Consider the following 22,819-nt stretch of genomic DNA (forward strand, 5'->3'; position numbering starts at 1 on the left):
AATTTTTTTAATTTCCTTTTTTATTAGAAGTTTTGTTATAAAAAGTTTCTTAAGTGTTTCATTCTTTCTAGCATGGGTGGCTTAAGGAGATTGGAGGGGAGCGTTTCATTTATTTATATAGAGATTTTGATGTTTTGAAAGACAATAGAATTAATAGAGAAAATTGTCCAGATATCCAGCGCTTGGATTTTTGTTTGAGAAGTTTGAGGAAGCAGATGCCATTTGAGTTGGTTTCTATGGAAAAATTTATCTTAGAGATGATGTAGGGCTATATTTATGTTCACAAATGAGAAATTGAAGCTGAGAGAAAGAGAAAATGTTTAATACATAATTACTCAATATGTCTTGGAAGAACCTAGGTTTTTATTCATACCTGGTGTTTCTTTATAAACTGCCTCTCTTTTATCTTGAGATGGTATTTTCGAAATTATTTCTCTTTCTCATTTTCTTCTACCATTTCCTGACATTTTCTTGTCTTTTGTTCTATTCTTCTTCGTCTCTTATTTTTCTATATTGGTTGTACTGTAAATAGGTTGCTAGCAACACACCTTAGGAGCAGGCTTTTGGGGAATGGGTCTAAGTATTCCATTTGGCCTATAATAGGCTATATTGTTGTTTTGGAATATAATTTTGAAAAAATCAAATTTATATTTATCCTGCTAGTTGATCAAGCTATAAATCAATCAATACTTACTAGTTGCTGCTTATATAAATAGAAGAGTTAACCAGTGACTCAGACAGATGACAATTGACTATTAAAGATTTTTTTAAATTGGCATATGTTTAGGAAAATCACTTGTTTCTTCAAAATTTATTCATTAAGCAGTATTTTTTGAGCACTTACTATGTGACAAACACCACACAGGTGATAGAGATACAACAGAGAGGAAGATGGAACTGGTTCCTGTCTCCTTACATCCTGGTGTAATTATATAATAAAAGTTAACCACAAGTAGAAACTTGGGGCATTATTTTTGTAAAATCTCAGTCAAGTTTCTCTCTACATAGAAGACTAGTATAACTTCAGATACCATCATTCATATCCATATCAGAATATAGTCCTATGTTAAAAGTAGAAAGATGCAATTTTAAACATGTTTTCCCATTAGTAATTGTCATGTGGTACATGATGAAATGAAATTGTTGAAATGAGTACCAGTAATTTTATTATTAGAGAAAGTCAGAACACTATTAATAAAATAATTTAGGGAGATTATATAGCATATTGGTTAAGAGCATGGTTTGGATGTAAACATGGGTTTGAGCCCTCTAGTCTGCCACTGAGAAGATTTTTGGTATTAAATCAATTATTATTCATATTTTTATGAATTCATAAACCTCACCTGTTCTCATCTGTGAAATAAAATTGTAATACCTACCTTTATAAGATTGTTATGAGAGTTAAATTAGAAATACAGGCTGGGCATAGTGGCTTATGCCTATAATTCCAGCACTTTGGGAGGCCAGGGTGGATCACTTGAAATCAGGAGCTTGAGACCAGCCTGGGCAACATGGTGGAACCCCATCTCTACTAAAAACACAAAAATTAGCTAGGTGTGCTTGAATTCTCAGCTACTCGGGAGGCCAAGGCACAAGAATTTGCTTGAGTCCGGGAGTCTGAGGCTGCAGTGAGCCAAGATCACACCACTACACTCCAGCCTAGGCAAATGAGTGAGACCCTGTCTCAAAAAAAAAGAAAGAAGGAAAGAAAAGAAAAATACATAAATGTTTAACTTAGTACCTGGCACAGAATAAGCTCTTTATATGTATTAGCTGTTTTTATGTCCTATATTCTTTTTTTATTAATTTAATCTTGATTCTCTTTTTCCCTCCCTCCCTCCCCCCCGTTCCCGCCCTCCCTCCCTGCTTCCCTCGGTCCCTCCCTCCCCCTTCCCTCCCTCCCTCCCCCCCTCCCCCTTCCCTCCCTCCCTCCCCCTCCCCCTTCCCTCCCTCCCTCCCCTCCCACCTCCCTCCCTCCCTCCCCCCTTCCCTCCCTCCCTCCCCCTCCCCCCTCCCTCCCTCCCTCCCTCCCCCCTCCTTCCCTCCCTCCCTCCCTCCCTCCCTTCCTTCCTCTCTGCTGTTGTTGAAACAGAGCCTCTCTCTTTCATCCAGGCTGAAGTGCAGTGGTGTAATTACTGCCCACTGCAACCTCTGCCTCCCGGGCTCTAGCAGTCCTACTGCCTCAGCCTCCCAAGTAGCTAGGACTACAGGCATGAGCCACCATGCCCAGCCATGATTTTCTTTCTCTAGAAAAGTCTGTTAGTGGGGATTTGAACATTCTTTTTGTATTATACATATTTTCTTTGAGGTGTCATACATTAAAATCAATTTCTTCAAAAATCAGGATGAGCATTTGTACAAAAGTATACAGTCAACTAGGATGAGGTTTTTTAAAAGTTGTTTTCCTTTTAACATAAAGTTGTATGTAATAATTTCCAATCCCTCGTGCCTTCTTGCTTCCTTTCTGGCAATCTCAACTTCAAATCAGTAATACTTATTATAGGTACATTGGTACCTATAATAACAAAGCGACTTTGTTCTGCAAACGTTGGCCTAAGCTTTGAAAACCATGAGCCATTGAGTTTTATGAATTCAAGTTAGACGGTAACAGAGGCCAAGACTCTAAGCAAGCAATATCTGAAAAGGAAGTACACAAAAACAGGTAGAAACTGTTTAACTGTTTTATTTCTCTGTGTGTATACATATTTATGTGTTTTTACACACAAAAAAGTACCTTTTTTGCATTTTATGTAGCTAGTCCTAATTACTATTATATACTTATTATAGGTACATTTATGTAGCTAGTCCTAATTACATTTGATCAATGGTGTTAAATTTTTTTTAAATATGTAACAAATGTGAAGGTTTTTCTTGTTTTTACAGCTTTTTTGCTCCATAAAAGTATTCTGGTTTTTATCAGGACATATTATATGTATTAGAAATGAAAGTCAACACAGTGTGAGTTTAAATGGTTAAAAAAAAAAAACATTTAACCATTTGGACTTAAAGACCTTCTGTCAATATTCTGTCTAGAGGCTGGGTGCAGTGGCTCATGCCTGTAATCCAAGCAGTTTGGAAGGCTGAGGTAGGTGGATGGCTTGAGCCCAAAAATTTGAGACCAGCCTGGGCATCATAGCAAAACCCCATATAACACAAAAATATAAAAAATTAGCCAAGCATGGTGGTACACACCTGTGGTCCCAGCTACTCGGGAGGCTGAGGTGGGAGGATTGCTTGAGCCCAGGAGGTTGAGCCTGCAATGAGGCATGATTGCACCACTACACTCCAGCCTGGGTGACATTGTGAGACCTTGTCTCAAAAAAAAAAAAAAATCTATCTATCTATCTATATAGATAGATAGATAGATTTTTTTATAGGTAGATAGATTTTTTTTTTTTTCTGGAGCTAAATTGAAACCCAAGTAGCTTTGGGGGCTTGTTATCCATCTAATATACAAATTCTTCCTTCTATACCAAGTCATGTCTTGCCATAATAGAAGGTAGAACTTTTAAGGAGATAGGGTACCACATTATGGTGAATGAATATTTCTTTTGTGGTCAAAATCATCAAACATTTGTCTATATTTACTGCCCCTGAATTCTCTCCTTCAGTTCTCTTTTTAATCCAGCCAGGTTTTTGCATCACCATTCCATCCAAACTTCTCTTAATAGGATCACCAGTGACTTTCCTAATAAATTCAAGGGTCAGTTCTCAGTCTTTTTCTTACCTGCCCTATTGGTGGCATTTACCATAATCGATAACACCTCTTCTTTGATAGATACATTGTGTTTAGTTGGTTACGGGGCACTGACCTATTCCCCCACCAAGTTTCCTCTCACCTCACTGGTTACTCCTAAATTCTTGCTCATGTTCTATCCTTTCTCTACACTCAAACCCTTGGTACTCTCACCCAGTCCTGTTCTAAATACCATCTCCATGCCATAATTGACAAATTTTATTTCCGGTTCAGATCTGTCTCTGAAACTTAAGACTCATAATCCAGTATCCAATGGCATACTCCACATCTTCATTTGAATATTTTAATACTATTGCTAATCCAGCCTGTCCAAACTAAATTCATCTTTCCCTCAAAACATGTTCCTCTGCATTTTTTAGTTGCAGTAATTATCATTTTAGTTGCTGAGGCCAAAAACCTGGTAGTCATCTTTTACTGTGTTCTTCTTTTACTTTTTTTTTTTTTTTCTGAGGTGGAGTCTCGCTCTGTCGCCCAGGCTGGAGTGCAGTGGTGTGGTCTCGGGTCACTGCAACCTCTGCCTCCCGGGTTCAAGCAATTCTCCTGCATCAGCCTCCCAAGTAGCTGGGATTACAGGCGCCTGCCACCACACCTGGCTAATTTTTTGTATTTTTAGTAGAGACAGTGTTTCACCATGTTGGCCCGGCTGGTCTCGAACTACTGACTTCGTGATCTGCCCGCCTCGGCCTCCCAAAGTGCTGGGATTACAGGCATGAGTCACCACGCCTGGCCTCTTTTACTTTCATATCCAGTTCTTCAACAAATCTTATTAGCTTTACCTCCAGATTATATTCAGAATTCCTCTACTTCTCAGCATACCCACTACTCCACCCTGGTCAGAGGTACTATCTTTTTTGGACTGAATTATTGCAGTAACATTCTAACTGATCTCCTTGCTTCTATACTTGCCCTTCCCATCTATTTTTTCTTCTCAGTGGAGTGATTCTTTGAGTTATAAGTCAAATCATATTACTCTTACGAGTTTTTGTTTCACTCAGAGTAAAAGTCAAAATCCTTATAATGGCCTACAAAGCCCTTCATAAACTAATACCTCTGTACTCTTATCTTCACATTCCCTTCATTTTCTGCACTCTAGCCATACTGGCCTGTCTCCGGTTCCTTAAACACATCAGGAATATTTTTGCCTTAAGAACTTTGCTTTGGCTGTGCCTACTGCCTAGAATGCTCTTACCGCAGAAGTACATGGCTAATTCTTCCATCTCCTTTAAGTTGTTGCTTAAATGTCAGTGAAGGGTATTCTGTCTACCCTATGTAAAATTATAACCCGTACCCAATTTCCATTACCCTGCTCTACTTTTTCTTTTTTCCAAAGCTCTTATGCCTCTCTAATGTACATCATTTACATATTTAATATGTTTGGTTTTTAATTGTTTCACTTTCCCACTAGACGATAAGTTCTATCAAGGAAAGCAATGTCTATTTTGTTCATTGATATGTATATCCCAAGCATCTAGAATAGTGCTTGCAAATGATAGTAACTGAGTTAATATTTGTTGAATAATAAACGAATGGTAAATATTGGGAATAATTGTAATGTTTAGTTTAACCCTGAATATACCGTCAGGTTTATTGGACCCAATTTTAGTTTGAAAATTTTTTTTTATTTTGAGTGTTTCTAACTATTTGTAAGAATTGAGGCCAGGTGCAGTGGCTCATGCCTGTAATCCCAGCACTTTTGGAGACCAAGGCGGGTGAATCACTTAAGCCCAGGAGTTCAAGACCAGCCTGGGCAACGTAGCAAATCCCCATCTGTACAAAAAATACTAAAGTTAGCCAAGTGTGGTGGCATGTCGCAGTAGTACCAGCTACTTGGAGGGCTGAGATGGGAGGATTGTTTGCACCCGGGAGGCGGATGGAGGTTGCAGTGAGTTGAGATGGGGCTGTTGTACTCCAGCCAGAGCGACAGAGTGAGACTCTGTCTCCAAAAAAAAGGAATTGATAGTACATACTTTGATTCTTTCTTAAACGTCTTCCAAAGACTAGAGAAGAGTTTTACTTTTCTTCACAATAAAACTAATTCTGTTTCAGAATTACTGTGTGGGTACATTGGACCCTTTTATAAATCTAAGATACTTCATGGCCTCCTGCCATATCTTGAAAAACTATACTGTTTCATCATCCTAGGAATAATTTTATCATTACTTATTCATTATTTCCAGTTGTACTGAAAAAGACTAAATTATTAATTTTTTAAAAAAACAGAAGAATGATGAAATTGCCTAGAAGGATAATGCAGGAGTGACATGAATCATCACTGTTACATCATCCTTCACTTTTATTATTGTGCTGCCTAAAGTATTGCATTATCTTTCAAGAATGTGCAGTAGAAGTCTGGAGACACACTGTCTTTATAATCTTCTTTCACTTTCATTGAACAAGGCTGAGAATTCACAATTTTATATTTTCCACACAAAATGGCAAATAGGAAATTGACAAAACATGTTTTCACAATTTTTAGATGAATCAGAAGATGAATGCAAAGAAACACGTAGTCTAGGTACTAGAACCTAATGATGTAATGAACTTCATCTTTTAAGTAATTCTCAGACTACGATTTTTCAGTGGATATTGGTAGATGTTTTTTCTAAAACTCAAGAACTGATAAGTGAATGATGTATTTCTGTGTAAAAAAAAAAAGCAGAGTATTCTCATAGTTACTCATTCAACAGAACATTGTTCATCACACAATATATGACAGGAATCTGAATCATCCTGCTTTGATAAGGACATGTGATTTTTTTTATATTTTATGATATTTGTGCATCTAAATTTACTTCATCTGGTTTCTATCAAATGGGCAAATGCTGTAGACAGGTATATATGCAGGGGCGATTAGAAGGAAATAGATGATATAGAAATGAAAAATTTTTTTTCAATTGATCATTCTGATTGTTGCTTATGAATCTAAAAGTGAAAATGTTTTACAGTTTTTTTGTTTTTGTTTTTGTTTTTTTGAGATGGAATTTTGCTTTTTGAGATGGAGTTTTCTCTTGTTGCCCAGGCTGGAGTGCAATGGTGCAATCTTGGCTCACCGCAACCTTCACCTCCTGGGTTCCAGTGATTCTCCTGCCTCAGCCTCCCGAGTAGCTAGGATTACAGGCATGTGCCACCATACCCGGCTAATTTTGTATTTTTAGTAGAGACGTGGTTTCTCCATGTTGGTCAGGCTGGTCTCGAACTCCCGACCTCAGGTGATCCGCCTGCCTTGGCCTCCCAAACTGCTGGGATTACAGGCGTGAGCCACTGCGCCTGGCCATGTTTTACAGTTATTAAGCAAAGAAGAAATATATTTAAAATCTGATATGAGTATTTTTAAACAGATGTAATCTAGGTTCATGCATGATAATTGATGAGTAGTTGCATTCCACATGTTGCATATTTCAGGTATGTTTATGGAATAATATGCGTTTGCTGTCTTTATAGTCTCATTAAAATGTCTTATAAAATTATTTTTCATTATCTCTTTATTCTTCTATAAATTATGAAATGACTTAGTTTATTAAAAGGTCCCATTGGACCCAGATAGTGAATGGTGAAAACTATTTTTCCTAGTATAAAGGAGCAGGAATATAATGAAAAGGCACTAGAGATGTGAAGATGACTAAACTTGGAGAGATGAAGTACTGGTGGCTGGTAGGGTAGTAGGTAGACTTTTTAGGCCAAGTAAATGAAACAACTAAACTGCTATTAAATTCAGAAAAATTAAAATGTTGTGTAAGAAGAAAAATAATGTACTTCATTCACTACATAGTCATTATATAAATTGAATATAAATTTAACCTGAGGATGGAGGGAGAAGAAATTCAGATAGGGTGTTATAAGATAATTAAATCCTCTTTTATTATGAATTTAGAAATTAGATAGATAAATCCATTAAAAAAAAACAGAATGAACATGATTTAGAAATATTCAAGTAAATACCAAAAGAAATAGCAAGAGGTGTAAGTGGTTGCCTCTTGGGAATGGGAGCTGGCATAAGGAGGAGAGAACTGGTATTGTTTCTTACATGGTATTTTAGTATTTTTAGAGTTTTTAAAAACCATGTGTATTGCTTTGATAAAAATTAATAGTAAAATATGAAACTGGATTTAGAGAGAATCTCGCTGGTATGTATCAAATGAAATTGAAGGCACAGGGAAAACAGTCTTAGATCTCAGGTGATGAACAACTGTAATGACTGGAAGGGGGAACCAAAGTACTGGCTTGGAAAGACATTTTAAAGGAATATAATGTGGAATTTTAAGACCTATTCTGATTGGACAATGGGAGTGAAATATTAGGTTAAGATGCAAACAAACCTGTTTTGAGGCACTCATAACAATAGGGGAGAAGGTATTTATGCCCATTTCAAGTGGAGTTGGAATGGTAGGTTGTGCTTTGGATATGTTATAGCTTGCAATGAATGTAATATAAACATTTGTGATATATCCTGTAAACAGTTTGAAGTGTGAGCCTGAACATGTTTGATCTAAGGTCTGGAGGAAGATGTGAAGCAAATCTGACCTAAAAAAAATTATAGGAAAAAAGCAAATTGTTCTGGATTTGTTTCACCAAGGAACAAGTAAGCAGAGAACCAGACACTGGAGAAAAAAAGGAGTCAGGAAGTAGACAAGGAAATGTTAAAAGAAATAATAGGATAACTGAAAGAATGTAGCTTCCAGATTGCTAGCTATCAGCAGATAGATAGAAACTTTTATACAGCCTTTAAATCTTCCCTAGAAACCTTTTTAAAAGTAGCTTCTTGATTAGATTTAAATGGGTTTTATTTATGCTTGTCATTTTACAGATATTGTAAATATACATATGGTATATTTTCTTTTTGCCTTTTGTGGACAGTTGGAGGTGGGGAACAGGCATCCATAGTCAGTATATTTAAAGGAAGAAAAAACAACTTCCATAATCTTGTTATATTGACTGTTTCTGTTGATACATTTTCCCTTTCTTTCTTGTTTCTTAGTATGATTTGAGGGTCATTTTAAATTTCTGAATAAATATTTTGTAAGCCAGGTGGTTCACTGACTGAACGTTTGGGACAGAGGTAATGGGAGATGAGGCCTTCTCTCTCTCTCTCCATAGACAAAGGCCTTAATATGACTAATAACTTAGCGAAAGCTCTATATGACCCTCTGCTAAGCACCTGTATTTATTTCCTCTTTCTTCTTCCTCCTCTACCTCTAAAAAAAGAAATCCCCATTTCTTTTACACACATGTTAAAAATAAAAAATTGTTTCTGGTAAATTTAATATGATTTAAAATAAGATGAACATTTTGATGCTTTACTTGCAAATTCTGCTATTAAAATGTGTTTTATTTAAACTATTGCCACTTATACAGTGAAAAATTTTAATGACTAAAACAGTTTTGTGACCAATGTTATAATTGAAAAGTATAAATTTGAGAAAACCAAGACAGAAAAAGGGAGCAGTTTCAGAAGAATGTAAGTGAATAAAGTGGCTTAGCCCTCAGGGGATTTGAATGTGGCATTGTGTGTATTTCAAAAGTTTCCGTTGAAAACAGATGCTGCTGATGAAGTTGGGAATAGTAACTTCATCTGTGGCTGTTTCAGTTGCTTATTAGAAGTGAGAAAGATCCCAAGGGGTTTATCTGGTGTAGTGGAGTTAGGCTCAGGAAAGGATATGACATAAATATCTGGCAGCTTTGTCTGTGTGGTCTTTAATCCATAAACACTGGTTAGGTACAAGCATGATTATCTATAAACATGCAATTATCTTATTTCATGTGGATTCTGTTTCTACCACAGTGTTATTTCAGTAATGGCAGGGTTGTTTTTTGAAGTCCATTTTAATTCTTAAGAACTGGTTATTACAGAAATTGTAAGTTTTTTCCCTAAACAAAGAGAACTGTCTTACTGAATTTTTATTATATAATGATAGTTCATTAAATTATTTACTGGCTTATGTGCCCCAATTCAGAACAGTACTTATTCATACAGTTGTCCATATGAATGTTTCCTTTTTTGCTTTTTCTTTTCAATTTTATTTTCTGATATTATTCATAGTATTCAAGTTATTCTGATAACTGGATAGATAAAATAGATATGGTCTCAGTCCATAGAGCACTTTGATATAGAGAGGGAAATAAAATATTTATTGACATAGCCCTTAATACAGAGTTTAAAAGTGCCCAGGATCCTTGAAAATATAGATAAGATGCTTTCAGACTATGACTGAAGGAGAATTTACTTCTACTACTAGAGGGAATTCAAAGGAGATAGAAATGTTATTTAATTAATTAATTCAGTAAATATGAATACCTATGGTAACTAAGCAATCATGCTTTGATGTTTGGAAGATATAAAGATAGAAATTACACAGTTAAGTCCAGATATTACAAAGTTGTGAGTGATCATCACTGCTTTTGAAGGGGTACCAGATAAGACTTCAGTGGAGGTGAGTAGGGACTTGATGGCCATATCCCAATTCCAAGTGGATGAATTGGGGGTGAATTCAGGTGTTCCACAGAATAAATGTATAGGCATAGCTGCAGAGAACAACAGGAAACTGGGGAAATTATTAGGCATAGCTGGAACATTGGGACCAGGAAAATGAAGCAAGAGAAACAAGTAAAGGCCAAATCATGAAAGTAAAGGCCAAATCATGAAAGGCACATTGTATAGTATACAAAGGAATTTTATGTGTATCCTGTAGGCAGCAAGGGACCATTCAGGGCAGAATGTATTCACATTTATATTTTAGAAATTACTTAAGTAGCAGTGGAATGAAAAGCAGTGTGTGATAATAGAAATAGTCAGAAGATATTTCATAATCTGGGTAAGATATTAAGTGGTCCTGAGCTAAAATCGTGGCATTGAGGCTATTTTGGATACCCTATTTATAGTATTTGATATGAAAAGTGAGAGAGAACCTGAGTTGAGCTTTCTGGTTTGGAAAACAGACTATGGTGCAAGTCATTGAGATAGAAGACATACAAGGAAGGAAAGTAGGGGTTTTGTTTTTGTATCTTTAAGGAAGAGAAAATAATTCCATTTTAGTGAATATGAGTTTGAAATACCTGTGAGACATCCAAGAAAAGACATGGCTAGAGAAGCAAATTTGGTAGTTCTCACTATGGGCATATATGACATAATCTGGGAGAAAAGTTGTAGAAGAAAATGGGTAAAGTATGGAGTATACCAAGTAACTAGTGAAGAGGAAACCACAAAGGGGGACAAGAGATAGGAAAGCATTTTGTTCTATCAGCCAAGAGAATTGTAAATGCCTCCTAGAGGTCAAGTGAGAAAACTGCTGAATATTATCTATTTACTTTAGGTTGGTGCAAAAGTAGTTGTGGTTTTTGCCATTACTTTCAAAGGCATAAACCACAATTACTTTTGCACCAGCCTAAATACATTGATTTTGAGGAGCTGAGCCTTAAAAGATATTCAAAGTTTGCAATCATGAAAATTGTACTGGGTTGGGTGGAAAATTGGGCAAAAGGTAGACAGTGTTGGAGATCAAGGGAATGCCATGAACAAAAGTACAGAACTGGAAAAGCACATTACAGACATGACCTTTTGTTTTAAAATATTACAAATGTAAAAAAGATGTATAAAAAGAAGGTGTGGACAATAAGTTTTATGCTATTACTTTTATGGTATAACTGCCCAAATACTTAAGTTAACTGGTGGGAGAGTTATTTACAACCTTTTCTACTTTTCCTTTTTTCTTTTTTTTCCTTAACATTTCACTATGTTTTAGAGCATTGAAAGAATGCCATCTCAGATCAGGGAGAGTTTTGGTTTCATGATGCAAGTACAGGAATAGATATTGAGAAAGTCCAAAGTTTTGGTTCCTTAAGGATTACAGGTATATACCAGCTATTGTTTCTTTTTTTTTTTTTCCGAATCTCTAACCATGAGCTCACAGTCTATAATGTATAGGCACACAGATTATTTGGGGATAGAACAGTTGCTAACAGACCTACACACTTAGTTTTACTTACTTACTTTATTTATTTATCGCGAAGGTTGTCATGCGCTGTCATCCAGGCTGCTGGCACGCAGTGGCGGCAGTGGCACCATGTTGGCTTACTGCAGCCTCAACCTCCAGGGCTCAAGCCCTCCTCCCACCTCAGCCTCCATATTAGCTGGGACTATAGGCATGCACCACCATACCTGGCTAGTTTGTGTGTGTGTGTGTGTGTGTGTGTGTGTGTGTGTGTGTGTGTGTGTTTCGTAGAGATGAGGTCTCACTATGTTACCTAAGCTAGGCTCAAACAGTCCTCCCACCTTGGCCTCCCAAAGTATTGGAATTGCAGGAGTCAGCCACTGCATCTGGCCCACACTTGTTTTAGAAGCTATCTTACATATAGGAGACTGTTTTAGTGATGTAATCATCATAAATTAATTTGTTATAGGCAGAATTCAGTATTGCTTTTTAAATAGCTCATTTTCCCAAATAATATATACTTTTTGTCCTTTTTAAAAGCTTGTTGTTAATTAAATTAGCCTTCTATTGTTAAAAATTCAATTATCATGGTTATTTATTTAACACAGTCATGCTTTTTAGGTAGCATTAGATAGCACATATTATTCTACTATATGGTAAATTCTTTGAGGGCAAGCACCATGTCTAAGACATCTTTCTGTCTCCAAAAATGTCTTTTACATGAGAGAGATTCAGTAAATATTTATTGAAAATTAACTTGACACTATTAAATGGAAACTTTTTAAGGAAAGTTGCATTTACATTCTTAAATCACCATTAGTGGCAAATTCACCATTGATTTGTGGAATATTAAATTCTAGTTCATTGTATGCTGAATCATACATACCTACCTTTTGGTGAAATATAATAATGAGTTTTACAATTTTAGATGTAACAAATTAGGATATCTGGAAAATGTAAGGCATCTATGGCTTCCTTATAAGAAGGAGCTATATGGAAATTAGGCTGAGGAAATGATTCTTAGTCTCTGGCACCTGCGGTGTAGATAACCAACTGGATATGCTGAACTGAGCCCTCTGTCTCAATAATCTTTGGTGATCTTTGGAAATACATTTTACTAGCTACTACCTTCTGTCAGATTGTCCCTAAAGGTCATGATAACCAGCTCTGTAATTATCTGTAGCTACTCTCTTAGTAAAGGAATGACGATCTTCAGCTCTTCTAACACAGCCAAATGTAAGCAGACTAAGTATAACTAAAGCTTGGGGTGAACTAGCTTCTATCTTTCAGAAATCCAGCCCATATTCTTCCCCAGAACGTTTGAAATGTGAATGCAGTCTGATATCAGTAAATAGCTAAATTACCACTGCATCTCCAACAAAATACAAGTCGCCCTTTTTTGCCCTATGTTGGAAAGCACACACATAAAAAAGTGAACATTAGTGTAAGCATAATGGACAGGGTTGCTTTGAAGACTAAATGATGTTTAAAGCAATTTATAGCCCTGGATCACCATGCACATATAAAGATGTTTCTCATAACTACTATGCAGTAATTGTCTGTATGTGTAATAAAGATAGCAGAATAGTTCCACAAATGGGGGCAAAGTGTAAAAAAATAGACTGTAGGTTATGGGTCACCCCCATGACCTAGTCACCTCTGACCAGGCCCAACCTCCAACATTGGGGATTACAATTCAACATGAGATTCGGCCAGGACATATATTCAAACTATATCAATATCATCACCAGATGAATAGCTAAACAAATTGTTATATCCATACAATGGAATACTGCTTGATTATAAAAAAATGAACAAATTGCTAATACCCAACAACAGGGATGAATCTTAAAAATATTCAGGAGGAAATGAGACAGACACAAAATAGTACATAACGTATAATTCCATATATGTGAGGTCCTGGAAGGGGCAAAACAAATCTATCGTGAGAGAAGGCAAATCAGTGGTTGCCTCAGGTGGGGGATTGACTGCACATGTGCACAAAGTAACATTTTGGGATGATGGAAATGTTCTACATTTGATTTTTATAGTGATTACCCAGGTGTATACATTTGCCAAATTGAATCCTACTGTATTTTTACATAGGTACATTTTATTACATGTAAGTTACACCTCATTAGTTTCCTTTACGGCCCTGCCTTCTGTAACTTTTTTCCTTCTCTCCCTAAAATTGAGGTATTATCCATTCTTCTGAATTTACCATAGCATTTGTTTGGCCTTCTCTTACTCTTTCTTTCTCCTTTCGTTTGTCACCTTGTCCTCTACTAAGGCTATAAGCTCTTTACATCTTTCTTTACCCTCTAGCACCTTGCTCATTTAATCTTCCAATAGATGTTTGTTAAACGGAGTTGATTTCATACAAAGAAAGAATTACCAGCTACTGCTTTGATCACGGCTCTGAAATTTGAACAGAATCACAATCCCAGTTATCAGCAAGAACAACCCTATAAAAGCAGCTATGGGTTGATGACAGGCATTCTTAGGGCAGTCTTAATTTTACAATTCAGGGCAGTCCCATTTAACATTCTATGGCATTGGGTGGTGGACACATGGAAGATGAGTGTTCCTGGGCCGTATGGAAAGTCCTCTTTAAGGCGAATTACCTTGTGCTAGTTGCAAAGGTCTGGAAGATTTAATTCAGGTAAATTACACAACGTGACAATGTATATAATTCCAGTAATGAGAGAAAATTAGAATCAGAAATTCAGTACTAGAAGGTGCCACCATGGATGCCATTTATTCTAACCCATTGTCATACAGACCCAGAGATCTTAAGTATCCTGCCCAACACCACACAGCAAATTAGCGGCACAGTTAACTCTAGAAGCCAGATTTCTATCAAGTACCATACCCAGAATTTAACAAGTTGGAGAATTTGCTGTTTGTGGAAGTTCTGAGGAGTTGCCCTAGACAAAGCTTTCCTTGGGGTGAGATTTTGAGTTTAGACACAATAGGTAAAGATCAAGGGCAGGAAGCTGCTGTCATTACTAGGTTCAAATCAAAACTGGAACCTTGGAGCCATGGCAGGGACAAGAATTGCCTTATGTGTTCCTGGTGATGTCTTTGCTTCATATACCACTTGAGAAATACTGACTTGATCTATTGTTGAAACTTAGTTTGTATACTTGTTGATGAATTTTCTATAGTAAGAATATGAATATGCTATAACTTTTTGAGGAGTTGTTAGTACAGTTGACCCTTAAACAACACGGGTTCGAACTTCATAGGTCTGCCTATAAGCAGCTTTTTCTCAACCAAAAATGGATTGAAAATACAGTTTTCATAGGCTGTGAAACCCACGTATATAGAGGGCCAACTTTTTATATGTGCAGGTTCCACAGGGCTGACGGGAACTTGAGTGTGCAAGGATTTGGTTCTACCAGGGTAGTCTTGGAACCAATCCCTCATATATACTGAGGGACAACTGTACACAAGAATATTTTTGAATCCCACAGGATTGTTAAAACAATCTGAATAGAGTCGATCTCCCTCCTTCAAACCTTCCTTTTTTACTGTTTTCTGTTTATGTGTAAATTTGGAGAGTGGTAACAGTTGCCATTTTGCATTTCATTGGTTTTATATTTCATTTTTTAAGAACAATTTTAAGTCAGTCTTATAGTTAACATAATTTCAAGTGGTCATTTTGAATTTTAATGATGAAAGACATTGAGATACAAAAAGCAGCTTTGAAAGTTGTAGCAAAGCATGCTTCATACATGGATCCTTTGAATGAAAGAATAATAGCATGGATGGTTGATGAAGGAATAGAAGCTGCTGCTATTTAATGTATTCTTCACTCTCAGTACATGGATACAGCCTCCAAATGTTACAAAGAAAATAATCATCAGCACAGCATCTCTGCATACCTGTGGATTGGTCTTTTTGTAAAGCAGCCTCATGGTTTTCTTAGAAAAGTTTTTTATTTAAAAATATATCTCTAGACACTTACTCCTGGTAGGCCTGGGAAAATGTAGATTACTTCATGTCTCTTCAAAAGCCTTTCAAAGAAACAAGTCAAGCTTGATTTGTGTTTTTGAGATAGAGGAAAGTAGTAAGGTAGGAGGACAGAGGAAATCTTAGCTTTAAAGGGAGAAAAAGATCTTTCAGTCCTTTTGTCAACACTTTAGTTTCTGCATTAGTCATAGGTCCCTTCCCCCTTGGCCATGGGTGGACCAAAGGAATAGCAGCCATTTGCACGTTTGTGAAAGGACAGTGGAAAGAAAAGAAAATAGCTGATACAAGAAAATGTGGGAGATTATTTCCCCCACTAGGTTTTTACAGTTGTATTTTTAGATTAATCAGTGGTTTCTGGATATTTGGCCTCCTTTTTTTTCTTTTATTTTGCTGTTTTTGATGTTATAAAATACAGTGCTAAGAACCTAACCCTATTAGTGAGATATTATTCAGAGTCTAATTTTTTTATTGTTATAATGAAAGTCATGTAGAATGCAAAGCTAGTGGACACAGTTAATACTCATATTTGGTAGAAATACTTTTCCTCTACCAAGCTGAGTTCAAATTGTGGGCCTGCAAGTTAACTGATACTGGACAGGTTAACTGGAGAAAAGATAAGGTTTATTCACACTTGAAGGAGCACTCAATATCAGTAACTCTGAAGAAGAGTTTAGAGGGTTATAGAAGTAAGGGGTTATGCCTCTTGCTGTGGCACACCACAGATGCCAGCACTTTGGGAGGCTGAAGTGGGTGGATCTCTTGAGCTCAGGAGTTTGAGACCAGCCTGGGTGACATGGTGAAACCCTGTCTCTACCAAAAAAATTATAAAAATTAGCCTAGCGTGGTGGCAAGTTCCTGTAGTCCCAGCTACTCAGGAGGCTGATGTGGGAGGATTGCTTAAGCCTGGGAGGCGGAGGTTGCAGTGAGCCAAAATGGTACCACTGTACTCCAGTCTTGGCAACAGAGCAAGACCCTGTCTCCAAAAAAAACAAGAAGTAAGGGGCTATATACCAACTTAACAAGAGGGGGTAGCTTAGGGAGTCAAAGGACAGAAAGATCTCATTTACACAATTTTTTTGTTATGTCTCAGTGCCCAGTGTCAGTCATCTCCCTCCTGTGGATCCTCCTGGAGGTGTGAGAGGGTTGTGACAGCTGCCTCAGTAAAGCTCTGCTTTAGTCAGATAAAAGAAGTTAAGATTTCATTCTGCATCTGCTGTTGTATTTTTGGGCCCTTCACTGATTTTTTTTTGTTTTAATATTTGTATGTAGTCTGATGCTTTTCAATGTATTTTCACATACCTCATTTTATTCTCACAGGACTTTTTAGGCAGACAGGGAAAATACTATTATCCCATTTCACAGGTCAGAAAACTGAGACTCAGAGAGGTTAAGTATTTGTCCAGGGCCACATAATTAATAACAGAGCCAAAATAGGAATTTCAGGTATTCAACATTTCTCAGTGTACCTTTGGGGTCCAATTTGAGTACTCATAAATTGTGTAATCTATTGTCAATCTATAAGTCCTTTAAAAGTGCCACGGTTAAGTAATAATTTATTTGTTTTGTAGGAGAAGATGGTATAAACTGGTCCATCAGTGACAAAGACATTGAGGTAAAATCAAATTGTTTTTAAAATTCAGAATAATAATTTCCTTTGCTTCATAGTTTATTATGATAACTTTTGGAACATTAATAAGTTTAAGTGGCTTATAAGAAAACATTTGATTTTAGCATATGAGTGATTTAACTCTTCAGAAACTTGGTTCAGCCTTGAGTTTTGTCAGTGAGTTAATAGCTGTAATCATCCAGTCCCCTTTCCCTTTCTGTTTCTCTCCTGCGGTGAGTCCTCTCAGCCCATATGGCCTGGTACCACTAAAAAGATCAACACCGGAAATAACTGCTTCTTCAGTGTAAGGAAATGGTTAGTCTATTTTTAGGATGTGGCAGGTGTTTGTCTTTGTCGATTATTAGCCTTAATTGTGGCAGATGCTACAAAAAGAGAATAATTTTATAACTTGGTTTTGGGAGATAGCTAGATTGTACTTACATGTGGTCCACTTGGCCAGTTCAGCAAAATAACAAATAAAAGATGAAAACTTTTTTAAAGATGGAATTCTACCAAACAAGCTAAAGCATGGTTGGGATTTACAGTTCCTCTTTAGATATTCCATATGATATGCATTGTTGGTACTCTCTTACAAGATCCTAGATTTAGATTAGAATATGGGACAGTTAGAATTGGGTCACTCTGTAGGCAGAATGGATCTTAAAAGGATTCCAGTGGAAAGAAATTATCTCATTCCTTTATTTCTATAAAGGAAGACTGGATTATCAGTCTTTTATTATCATCCAGTCTTGTAGGCAGTAACCCTGTGCTGTTCAAAAGAATGGATATATTGGGTAGCTGTACTAACTTTACAAAAGACAAAGTCATAAAAACACCATTCCCTAACTCAAAATTTAAGTAGCCCTCCCATTCAGAAAAACATGGTGTACATTCAGTTATAGAAATCAGCAGTGGCTGGCCGGGCGTGGTGGCTCACACCTGTAATCCCAACACTTTGGGAGGCTGAGGTGGGTGGATCACCTGAGGTCAGGAGTTCGAAATCAGACTGGGCAACATGGCGAAACTCCTTCTCTACTGAAAATACAAAAATTAGCCAGGTGTGGTGGCGGGCGCCTGTAGTCCCAGCTACTCGGAAGGCTGAGGCAGGAGAATCGCTTGAACCCAGGGAGGTAGAGGTTGCAGTGAGTCGAGATCACGCCACTTCACTCCAGCCTGGGCAAAAGAGTGAAACTCCGTCTCAAAAAAAAAAAAAGAAAGAAAGAAAAGAAGTCAGCAGTGGCTTTGACTGAATGCTACCGCGGTGTCTAAGTGATGCATGTCAGTACCCCTGCTCGATCTGAAACATAAGTAGAGAAAGATTAAAAAAAAAAAATCACATGGAGAAGTATAAAAGACTCAGCAGGCGGGAGGGGCAGACAAAAAGCAGTAGAGTTACCTTTATGGCACCTCCTTTTATGTTTTTCTACCTCTTTTTTTTTTTTTTTTTTTTTTTTTGAGATGAAGTTTCACTCTTGTTGCCCAGGCTGGAGTACAATGGCACAATCTCGGCTCACCACATCCTCCGCCTCCCAGGCGCAAGCGATTCTCCTGCCTCAGCCTCCCAAGTAGCTGGGATTACAGACCTGCGCCACCACGCCCAGCTAGTTTTGTATTTTTAGTAGAGATGGGGTTTCTCCATGTTGGTCAGGCTGGTTTTGAACTCCCGACCTCGGGTGATCCGCCCACCTCGGCCTCCGAAAGTGCTGGGATTACAGGCATGAGCCACCACGCCCAACCTCTACCTCTTTTTAAGAGAACAAGAGAGATCATAAAGTTCCCCTGTGGCTAGGTTCTAAGTTGAACAGATATAACTAATAATTCTCTTGCTTTATCAAGGTAATGGAACTGACTTGAAGCTTGATGTATCTTTATTTGCTTATAGTTGTCTTTAACAAGAGTAGTAGATGGCTTTTATTTAGCAGTGAAACAATTTTTTTAATTCTTGATTTTTTTTTCCCTTAGGCCCAGATAGCTAATAACCGAACACCTGGAAGATGGACCCAGCGGTACTATTCAGCCAACAAAAACATTATCTGTAGAAATTGTGACAAACGTGGTCATTTATCAAAAAACTGCCCCTTACCACGAGTACGTGAAATATGCTTTGCTTCTTTCCACATTTGTAAACTCAAAATCTCAAGGGTGAGGCTGGGCACGGTGGCTCATGCCTGTAATCCCAGCACTTTGGGAAGCCGAGGCAGGTGGATCATGAGGTCAGGAGATTGAGACCATCCTAGCTAACATGGTGAAAAACCCCGTCTCTACCAAAAATATACAAAAAATTAGCCGGGCGTGATGGCGGGCGCCTGTAGTCCCAGCTACTTGGGAGGCTGAGGCAGGAGAATGGTGTGAACCCGGGAGATGGAGCTTGCGGTAACAGAGATCACACCATTGCACTCCAGCCTGGGTGACAAAGTGAAACTCTGTCTCAGAAAAAAAAAAAAAATCTCAAGTGTGAAACCCTATAACCTTAGAATTCAAATCTTTTTATAGTATGTGTGTTAAATTTCATGTAGCTTACAGCCTAGTGTCGGAGAAATAATAATAAATTTGGAGTCAGAAAAATGTGGAATCAATTTTAACTTATCATTACTAGTTGTATGGGCAAATCATTTAACCCTCTGTGCTTCTTGTTTTCTTGTCTATAAAATGAAAAGATTGAATCAGATGATTCCTGAGACCCCTTTCACTTCTAAACCTTGTACTTCATAAGATAGCTTATTTCAATGTGAGATAATTTTTATCGTTAGAAAATTATAATTTGGGGCATTTTTAAATGTTTATTAATGTAAGTTACGTTAAGCAGGTACATCAACCTTTGGAACAACACAGAACTGAAGATCTTAGACGTTTCCTGACCAGATAATTAGCTCTTAACAAACATTTCTTCCATTTCTCCTTCCTCTTCCAAATGACTGCTTTTCAAATAGTTCAGACACCTCTTATGCTCCTTTTTTGTTCTTGCTTCTCCAGTCAAAACAGCTTCTTCTGTATCTGTTCCTCCTATGACTTAGCTTCTAGATATCCTCCTCATTCTACTTTCCCTCTTACATACCTTTCATTTTGTCAATATTCCTATAAGAAGAGGCATAAGGAATATATGCCAGCTGCTAGTATGTACAGACTAAGCCTTTTTGGCAAACAATATACATACAGTGTTTTGGACATTTTGTTTGATTTTTACAGTTGTGCTCAGGATTCTACCTTTATTGGGATCTCAAATTAGAAAAGATTTTTTTATGGGATTATATTGAAAAACAAATACTAATCTTCTACCTTTTGAGACTGAAGAGATTTTATGTTTTTTTCGCCACATAGAAAGTTCGTCGCTGCTTCCTGTGCTCCAGGAGAGGACATCTCCTGTATTCCTGTCCAGCCCCCCTTTGCGAATACTGTCCTGTGCCTAAGATGTTGGACCACTCATGTCTTTTCAGACATTCCTGGGATAAACAGTGTGACCGATGTCATATGCTAGGCCACTATACAGATGTGAGTATCCTGCATATAACTAATTTGTCAGGCTTTGGAGGGAGTGTGCAAGTTTGTAATTAATGTGCAAGTTTATAACTATCAGTCAGCATACCTAAAGGAATGTTTACTCCGTGAGATATATATATATATATATAGTCATGTCCATTTTGTCACTGAACATGTATATAAAGCAGTGCTCTAAATAATATAGGGGTAAGGAGCCTACTGAATCAGAAGACAGCATCAAGAGATAGCATTAATAAATATTTTAAGCCCATTCTAGCCCTTTTTCTTTATAAGCTTGTTAAATAAAGGCTGAATTTAAAGAGGTAATAAATAACATGTAAAATTTGTGTATTCATATTTATTTATTTATTTATTTATTTTTTGAGACATAGTCTCACTCTGTCACCCAGGCTGGAGTGCGGTGGTGCAATCTCGGCTCATTGCAACTTCTGCCTCCCGGGTTCCAGCGATTCTCCTGCCTCAGCCTCCCGAGTAGCTGGGGCTACAGGAGCATGCCAACACTCCTGGCTAATTTTTGTATTTTTAGTAGAGACGGGGGTTTCACCATGTTGGCCATGCTGGTCTCGAACTCCTGACCTTAGGTGATCTGCCCGCCTCAGCCTCCTAAAGTGCTGGGATTGCAGGCGTGAGCCACTGCACCTGGCCTATTTGTGCATATTTAAATGAAAATATATGCACAATTAGCAGTTATATACAGATGTTTAATGGAAGCCTATTTTGATGCTTCTTTTTTTATTTTTATTTTATTTATTTATTTTTTGAGATGGAGTCTCGCTCTGTTGCCCAGGCTGGAGTGCAGTGGCGTGATCTCAGCTAACTGCAACCTCCAACTCCTGGGTTCAAGCGATTCTCCTGCCTCAGCCTCCCGAGTAGCTGGGATTACAGGCACGTGCCACCACACCTGGCTAATTTTTTATTTTTAGTAGATACGGGGTTTCACCACGTTGGCCAGGATGGTCTCGATCTCCTGACCTCATGATCCGCCCGCCTCGGCCTCCCAAAGTGCTGGGATTACAGGCATGAGCCACTGTACCCGACCTTTTTTTTTTTTTTTTTTTTTTTTTTTTTTTTTTTTTTTTTTGGAGACAGGGTCTCGCTCTGTCACGGTGGCTAGAGTGCAGTGGCATGATCTTGGCTCACTGCAACCTCTGCCTCCCAGGTTCAAGTGATTCTCCTGCCTCAGCCTCCCAAGTAGCTGGGATTACAGGCGCCCACCACCATGCCTGGCTAATTTTTGTATATTTAGTAGACAGCAGGGTTTCACCATGGTCAAGCTGGTCTCGAACTCCTGACCTCAGGTGATCCACCCATTTCAGCCTCCCAAAGTGCTAGGATTACAGGTGTGAGCCACCACACCTGGCCTGATTCTTCTTATCAATGATTTTGCTGGTCTAATAGTCTAAGGAAAGAAGGACAAGGCAGCCATTACTTTAAATTGCAGCATATTAAAAATGCTGTTTTGGACACTATTTGCATTGTATTGTTGTAAATGTATATGGAGTTTAGTCATAATTTCAAAGACCAGAGGGCTGTTGAAATAAGCAAATACAGCTTTGATGTGGAATATGTAGTTTTCTACATTCAGTTTACCCTAATTCCTAATGAGTGTCTCATTAAGAGTCTTTCATTTTAGGTCTTAATTGCGTTTCTTACTACATAGTAACATATGTTTATTTTATATTAACAGCTAATCAGTACAAAGTCATTTTTCATCCTCATACCTAAGTGGCAATTCTAATTGATTTAAGGGGTATTTATGAAAGGGGTGTCTCTCATTCTCTTTTTTAAAGCATTACTTACCTATTTTTTAAAATAATAAAAGTACTTTAATATGTACTTCCCCAAAGTCATGATACGAAAGCAGAAATATTTTTCTAATTTTATTTATATTGAAATACACCTATAGTCTTTTTTCTTACAGCCCTTTTTAATGCATGTCTGAAATACACCTATAATCTTTTGCTCAATAAATTAGTATGGCTTTCTGTTGAAATGAATTTCAGATTAAAACAGATTAGAGTATGAGTGTTTGGTATATATATGTATTTCTCATGTAAA

The 22,819-nt window shown here is 37.4% G+C and overlaps 1 protein-coding gene across 19 annotated transcripts in view, besides 1 other annotated feature; it reads left to right on the forward strand.

The window, feature by feature from the left end:
- The window catches only part of ZCCHC7 (zinc finger CCHC-type containing 7), a 237,983-nt gene that overhangs the window by 164,796 nt on the left and 50,368 nt on the right, over positions 1-22,819 (forward strand). For 14 of the 19 annotated variants that reach the window (NR_110317.1, XM_005251612.4, XM_011518050.3 and 11 more), the window contains 3 exons: positions 17,226-17,269; positions 19,226-19,351; positions 20,582-20,752. Coding sequence is in view for 18 of the 19 variants with exons in the window: in XM_005251612.4 (XP_005251669.1) it covers positions 17,226-17,269; positions 19,226-19,351; positions 20,582-20,752 (341 nt within the window). In the remaining variant the exon portion in view is untranslated. The remainder of the gene's footprint in view (positions 1-17,225; positions 17,270-19,225; positions 19,352-20,581; positions 20,753-22,819) is intronic. The other 5 variants (XM_024447691.2, XM_017015199.3, XM_017015200.2 and 2 more) reach the window with 1 other exon arrangement.
- Positions 17,530-17,579: an enhancer, noted in NCBI's record as "active region_28382". NCBI's record gives its function as "activates an Ori minimal core promoter by ATAC-STARR-seq in GM12878 lymphoblastoid cells {active_cell/tissue: GM12878}" and the evidence as "EXISTENCE:reporter gene assay evidence [ECO:0000049][PMID:35858748]".

Source organism: Homo sapiens, chromosome 9 (genome assembly GCF_000001405.40).
Source record: "Homo sapiens chromosome 9, GRCh38.p14 Primary Assembly".
NCBI classification, from domain to species: domain Eukaryota; kingdom Metazoa; phylum Chordata; class Mammalia; order Primates; family Hominidae; genus Homo; species Homo sapiens.